The sequence below is a fragment of the Homo sapiens genome, chromosome 3 (genome assembly GCF_000001405.40).
Source record: "Homo sapiens chromosome 3, GRCh38.p14 Primary Assembly".
NCBI classification, from domain to species: Eukaryota; Metazoa; Chordata; class Mammalia; order Primates; family Hominidae; genus Homo; species Homo sapiens.
The window spans coordinates 191,636,899-191,644,117 of NC_000003.12; positions in this window are offsets into that span (position 1 = coordinate 191,636,899).

The window sequence follows — 7,219 nt, forward strand, 5'->3', positions numbered from 1 at the left end:
AAAAAAATTAGCCCGGCGTGGTCGTGGGCGCCTGTAGTCACAGCTACTCGGGAGGCTGAGGCAGGAGAATGGCGTGAACCCGGGAGGCAGAGCTTGCAGTGAGCTGAGATCACACCACTGCACTCCAGCCTGGGCGACAGAGCAGGACTCCGTCTCAAATAAAAAAAAAAGAAAAGAAAAAAAAAAGATTTGGTATTTGAGGTACCTGGGAAATAAGATTACTCATCTTAATACCTACTTTTTGAGAGTTGATCATCGTATTTGGATGACTTGAAAATTATCTTTCTAGGTTTGGTAGATGGACAAGAATGAAACTTGTTCCCATATAGATACATTATGCGCACATACTTTGTTATCTGCGTTTATACATACTATTTGTTGTTTTGTTTTTGTTAAAAATGGTTTGATGTGGCTTATACATGCAACATCAAATGAAGTGAAATTTTAAGTGCCTAGAGTTGTTATAACCACTTGACAGATATACATAAATAAAATCTTTTCTGTGTGTGTTTGTGTGTATATGTGTGTGTGTGTATGTGTGTGTATCCATTTCAACAGAGGGGTATGTGGATCCCCTTGTTTGCTTGTTTTACTTTAGCTCATGGTATGGGATCTAGGGCTAGACTAAAACTCAGATTCCAAGAGAATCAGATTCTCTGGTCCTCAATAATTCAATTCCAGGTTGAATTATTTGTTTTTCTAAATAGTTAGAGATTGATTGAACTGGTACAACTGATAGGCATTTATGAAAAAATTCTGCAATCTGAAAGAATGAGACATGTAATACTAAAGGGAGATAGAAGAAGAACATTTATTTGTAGATTTACATTAGGAAACAAATCAATTTAACACAGCTTCTGGTTTTGCTGCCAATATAATTCAATAAACATAGAATCTATGAAATGAGTTCAAAGATGAGATAAAACAACAATTTGAGAAAACAGACTGAGATAAAAAGGCAGCTGGCTGAGAGGCAGAAGAGAGAACCACATGAGATAAGAAACAGTGTGAAGAAACTAAAATTGCTATTACAAAAGGGGCTTAGTATCTGTGGCTTAAAATGTCATCTGGCTAGAAGAACCTTAATAGATTTTGCTCAATTTTTTACTGAAAAATTTATAAATAACTTTTTATAATACAGAAAACAAAGGTTGATAGGAAACTAATTATTTAATCTGAGACAAAATAATTAATAGATATTTCAACTCAGAATAAAAAAAATATTGCTACATAGCTTTCTGCTCCAACCTTCCTCAGGACCTTTGCATTTGTTGTTTTCCTGCCTGGAATATTCTTCCTTTTACCCTACTCACTTTTAACAGATTGATGGTTTGACTGATTTGATTCTTCACATCTAGGTACAAAAGTCATATCCTTAGAGAAGGCTTTGCTAAGGACTAAAGTAGATCAGATAACTTTTTATGTTTTATCTTAACAATCAGCTAGTCTAAAAAGAAAACACTTATAATGGGAGCAGGAAATTTGTGTTTCTTCAGTAATCTAGCCACGAAACCCGGAATAGTGGTTATCTTTAAGAAGGCATTTAGTGAATATTCATTGACTAAATGAATTAATGATTACATGGCATTCATCAGAGCCTTATTAGTTGTGTTTATGTTTCTATATGTAGTTATTTGATTGCATCCCCCTTTGATCAATATTCTTTATGGGGTTATGGACATGACGTACTCTGTGTTTATTTTGATCACCACTATATGTTGGCACCAAGCGGAATACTTGGCACACAGTAGACAATTAAATTATATATTTGTGGAATATTTATTGGGTATTGAACAAGCACTATAGGGAAAGGCAGAAACAGAAAGAGCCCTGGCAGGAATAGCCACTAGGAATTAGGGCTGTTCCAGAGTACTAGAAAGTCATTCTGTGAAGACAAGAGGAAGATGGTACTACCGAAGAGCAGACATAACCTGGATAGAAGGCTGATGGAAACTTGGAGGTGTACATTTTAATCTGTTCTCCATTGGAGATCTGTAAATTGCATTTAGCAGCCATATCAATAGATCGAGAATGAGACAAAAGCAATCCACTACCCCATTTGTTTAAAAATAGAACATCTGTACAGATTCCATATTATCTGAGGATACATAAAGATTTTTTTAAAGGGGCCAATTAAAAACTACAGAACAAGAAAAATGAAGATTCACAATTACAGAATTCCTCTGAAAATAATTTATAAGCTGAACAAAATTTATTTTATTTTACTTTAGTTCTGGGGTACATGTGCAGAATATGCAGGTTTGTTGCATAGATAAACGTGTGCCATAGTGGTTTGCTGCACCTATCAACCCATCACCTAGGTAGTAAGCCCAGCATGAATTAGTTATTTTTCACTGATGCTCTCCCTTCCCCTGTCCCCGCAACAGGCCCCAGTGTGTGTTGATCCCCTCCTTGTGTCCATGTGTTCTCATTGTTCAGCTCCCATTTAAGAGTGAAAAGATGCAGTGTTTGTTTTTCTGTTCCTGCAATAGTTTGCTGAGGATAATGGCTTCCAACTACATCCATGTCCCTGCAAAGGACATGATCTAATTCCTTTTTATGACTGCGTAGTATTCCAAGGTGTATATGTACCATATTTTCTTTATCCAGTCTACCAGTCTATCACTGATGGACATTTGTGTTGATTCCATGTCTTTGCTATTGTGAATAGTGCTACAATATGTGTGCATGTACCTTTATAATAGAATGATTTACATTCCTTTGGGTATATACCCAGTAATGGGATTGCTGGGTCAAATGGTATTTCTGGTTCTAGGTCTTTGAGGAATTGCCCCACTGTCTTCCACAAGGGTTGAGCTAATTTACATTTCCACCAACAGTGTAAAAGCATTCCTGGCCGGGCATGGTGGCTCACACCTGTAATCCCAGCACTTTGGGAGGCCGTGGCGGGTGGATCATGAGGTCAGGAGTTCCAGATCATCCTCGTTCACACTGTGAAACCCCATCTCTACTAAAAATACAAAAAATTAGCCAGGCATGGTGGCAGGTGCCTGTAGTCCCAGCTACTCGGGAGGCTGAGGCAGAAGAATGGTGTGAACCCGGGAGGCGAACCTTGCAGTGAGCTGAGATTGCGCCACTGCACTCCAGCCTGGGCGACAGAGGGAGACTCCCTCTCAAAACAAACAAACAAACAAAAAAGGTGTTCCTATCTCTCCACAGCTTCACCAGCATCTGTTGTTTCTTGACCCTTTAATAATCACCATTCAAACTGGCGTAAGATGGTATCTCATTGCGGTTTTCAGAATATAGCACTAGGATATATAACTCCATGAATTAGAAACAGACATAAAAAATGGTCTGAACTAAAAGGGCAACTCAATGTTATACAAAAGATAAATAGATGACATAGGAAAGGGATTGAAAAGAAAGTAAAATGTAGTAAAAGAAATAAGCTAGTATTGGACATGGTAAAAAAAATCAAAATTTATTCTGAGGGCATATGTATCAATAACATGAAGGGCAAATTTGGGGATTTCAGAATATCCTGAAAAAGTAATATTAAAATTATGAAAAAGAAGATCACAATTGTAGAAATTTTATTTTGGAAAACTAATGCACAGATTTTGGTAATTTTTGAATGAAAGTCTGAAATAAACGAATTGAAAACAATAGCAGAAGAGTAGTTTCTTTGACCTAAGATCTGACAATGCAGATCAAAAAATAGTAATATCTTGAAGGTTAAACAATGGGAAAGCTATTTATGCCAATACGTAAAAATTCTATATACATTGATAATTTTAAAAGAATGAAATTAGAAATGTATAAGTATATCCTCTGATTTTCAGCAATATTAATAACATCTAGGAGAAATAATCAGTTTTGAGGAAAACTATTGTCATCCTAGATTTTTCATATGCTGCCAAGTAGTTCTTTCTGAATTAAGGAAACAGAAAGACTCTGAAAAATGTATTCACCGGAAAAAAATGACAATTGCATGTCCTTCTTAAACAAACCAGAAAATGCACTCCAAATAACTAACAAAGCAAATTTAAGAGACCAAGATAGGGATGGTGTAATCGCTAATAACAATGGTGTGCACATGTGCAGCTTACAGACAAAAAATTTACCAAAGAATTTTAAATCCCACATTATTTTAACAAATGTTTAAAACTGAATGAGGGAAGAGGAGAAATGAACGCTGTAGTCAACTAATGGCTGAAATAAAAGAGTGCTAAAAATACAATGTTTTACATTTGATTTCAATAATATTTACTGTGTCTCCTCCAAATGCAGTCGTGTTTACAACTGATTAGTCACAACCAGTTACAGATTTCTTTGTTCCTTCTCCACTCTCACTGCTTCACTTGATGAGCATTTTATATATATATATAATATATGATGAACATTATATGTGATGAACTTTATATATGATGAACAATATATATATGTGTGTGCATATATATATATATAATATCAAGTGAAGCATTGAGAGTGGAGAAGGAACAAAGAAATCTGTAACTTGTTGTGACTAATCAGTTGGAAACACCACCACACTTGGACTAGACACAGTAAATATTATTATATATATTATATAAATATATAGGAGAGGGAGATGCCAAGATGGCTGACTAGAAGCAGCTGGTGTATGCTACTCTCATGGAGAGGAGATACAGTGGGCAGTAAACACTAGCTCTTCAACTGGATTATCCAGGAAGACACGTTGGTTGGTATTCATCAAGGAAGCACCATGACCCATGGAGAGCAGAGAAGAGTGAGACAGGACAGCTGCCCACTCAGGACTGGCATGAAAGCAAGGGAGGCTCCCCACCACAAGGAAATGGTGAGTGGACAAGAGTGCCTGGGGTCCTACACTTTTGCCATAGAGCTTTGCAATTCTGAGAACTGGTGATCTCCCCTGATCCATCCCTCTGGGGCCTCCAAACTAACACAGAGAGCTGCCTGGGGCCTGACCAGAGCCACCACTCAGGCTCACATGAAGCCCAAGGGCTTTGGACTCCTGAGCACACTGGCACTAGCTGTTGTAGCTTCACCAAGGGAGGCCAGGCTCTCTTGCATGCCCCCAGAATAGAAGCCCCGTCCATGGTGCTGAGGAGTGGTCAGACTACTGGCCTCACCCCCACTACAATCCATCAGGCAAAGCCCACAAGCCTGGGACCCCAGTGCAGCCACCCCTTCTCTGACTGAGCGCTTGGGCCACAGCTCTGCATTTCTCTAGGATGGAACACCCAGAGGTGACTGACAGACCCACAGCTTTTGCCGCTTCTGCAGCCCATGCCCCTGCTGTCCTCAGGCTAGGCAGGGAGCAGAGACCCCAAGAACTATTGTGGGCCTCTGGCACACCACAGCTGCCTTGTAGAAAAGCAACCAAATTGTTATCCACATGGGTCCCTGACTCTGCTTTCCTCGCTAGGCAAGGCCTCCTGACCTGGGTCCCCCGCACAGTTGCCCTGCCTCCGCCTGATCATTTCAGTCAGTGACGGCTCTGTGCTTCTTTGCGGAGGAAATTCCGGAGACAACCCACAGACTCTCTGCCATCGCCTATGTGGTGGTACCGCCCTTTCTGGCCATTGGGCTTGGAAAAGAATAAAGATCCTCATCACTTTGCTGGCACCTCCAGCATGCTACGGCCACCATACAGAGAGGAGCAGTCTCTCTTGCCTGTGAGCCCCCACCTTCTACCCTTCAACAGATAGGCCCTTGCCGCCATGCCCATTGGACCCAGAGCACAGCAACTCTCCCCCTAGTTGAACATTCCCATTGGCAACAGCTCTCTGTCACTCTGGGGTGGAGTTCTTAAAGGCAAATGATAGCCCCTTTGCCACTGACACTGCAGCAGTACTGGGCAGTACTGCTCTTGCCGCCACCAGCCTAAAGAAGGAACAAAGAACCCGAGTGCTTTACTTGCACCTCCCACATGGCATAGCCACCCTAGAGAAGAGGTCAGACTTTCTTCCCTGCTGGTCCTCCACCCACACCAACCCTTTTTTTCTGAGGCAGGACCTCTTGGCTTGGGCTCACAGTGTAGCTGCCCCATCCCCAGCTGGTTGTTCCAAATGGCAGAAGCTCTGCCTTTCTCTGGGGTGGAGCCCCAAGAGACAAATGAAAGGCCTTCTGCCATTGCCACTGCCAAGGTCCCCAGCTCTGCTGTCCTTCAAGTTAGAGAGGGAACAGAAAGCCTGAGATCACCCCTAGGCTACAGTGCCCAGTTCAGGAGTGCCAAGCTGAGATCTGTAACCAGCACTCAAGTGAGAGAGGAGTCCACACACTCAGAGCATTGAAAGGGAGCATGGCTGCAAATGATCAGAAATACAGAGAAGCCACATGGCTGAGTATGAGCCTATCTACTGGCCATTACACTTAAGCACCGTCTACTGGATCACAGCCCAAATGTCAACCCCCAAAATACTTTACTAATATACCCACCTGTGAAACCAAGGACAAGCATTTCAGTCATGAATAAAGACCCTGCACAAAGCCTTAGCCCTCTGAAAGCATCCAGAAATGAAGCCAGCTGAGGATACTCAAATTACAGCACATTTAAAGGAACATCAGCCCACACACATAAGAAATAACCAGCACAAGAACTCCAACAACTCTAAAAGCCAGAGCCTCTCCTTACCTCCAAATGACTACACAGCTGCCCAATAATGGTTCTTAGCCAGAATGAAATGGCTGAAATGACAGATTCTCAGTGAGTATGGATGACAATGAAGATCATCGAGATTCAGGAGAAAGTTAAACCCATTCCAAAGTGTCTAAGGCATCCAGTAAAATGGTTCAAGTGATGAAAGACAAAATAGCCATTTTAAGAAAAAACTGAACTGATCTGATAGAGCTAAAAATTTACTATAGGAATTCCATAACATAATTGGAAGTATTAATATCAGAATAGATCAAGCTGAAGAAAGCATCTCAGAGCTCAAAGACCCGTTATTTGAATTAACTCAGTCACACAATTGTCCCTGAAAATTTTCTCAACCTCTTTAGAGATGTTGATGTTGACATTCAAAATTGAGGAAATTCAGAGAACTCTGCAAGACACTATACAAGATGACCATCCATAGTCTCAGATTCTTCAAGGTCAATGCAAGAGAAAAAAATATTAAATGGAGCTAGAGAGGAGTAGGTCACCCACAAAGGGAAACCCAACAAGCTAACTTCAGATCTTCCAGAAAAACCCTACAGGCCAGAAGAGATGGTGGACCTATATTCGTCATCCTTAAAGAAAAAATCTCCC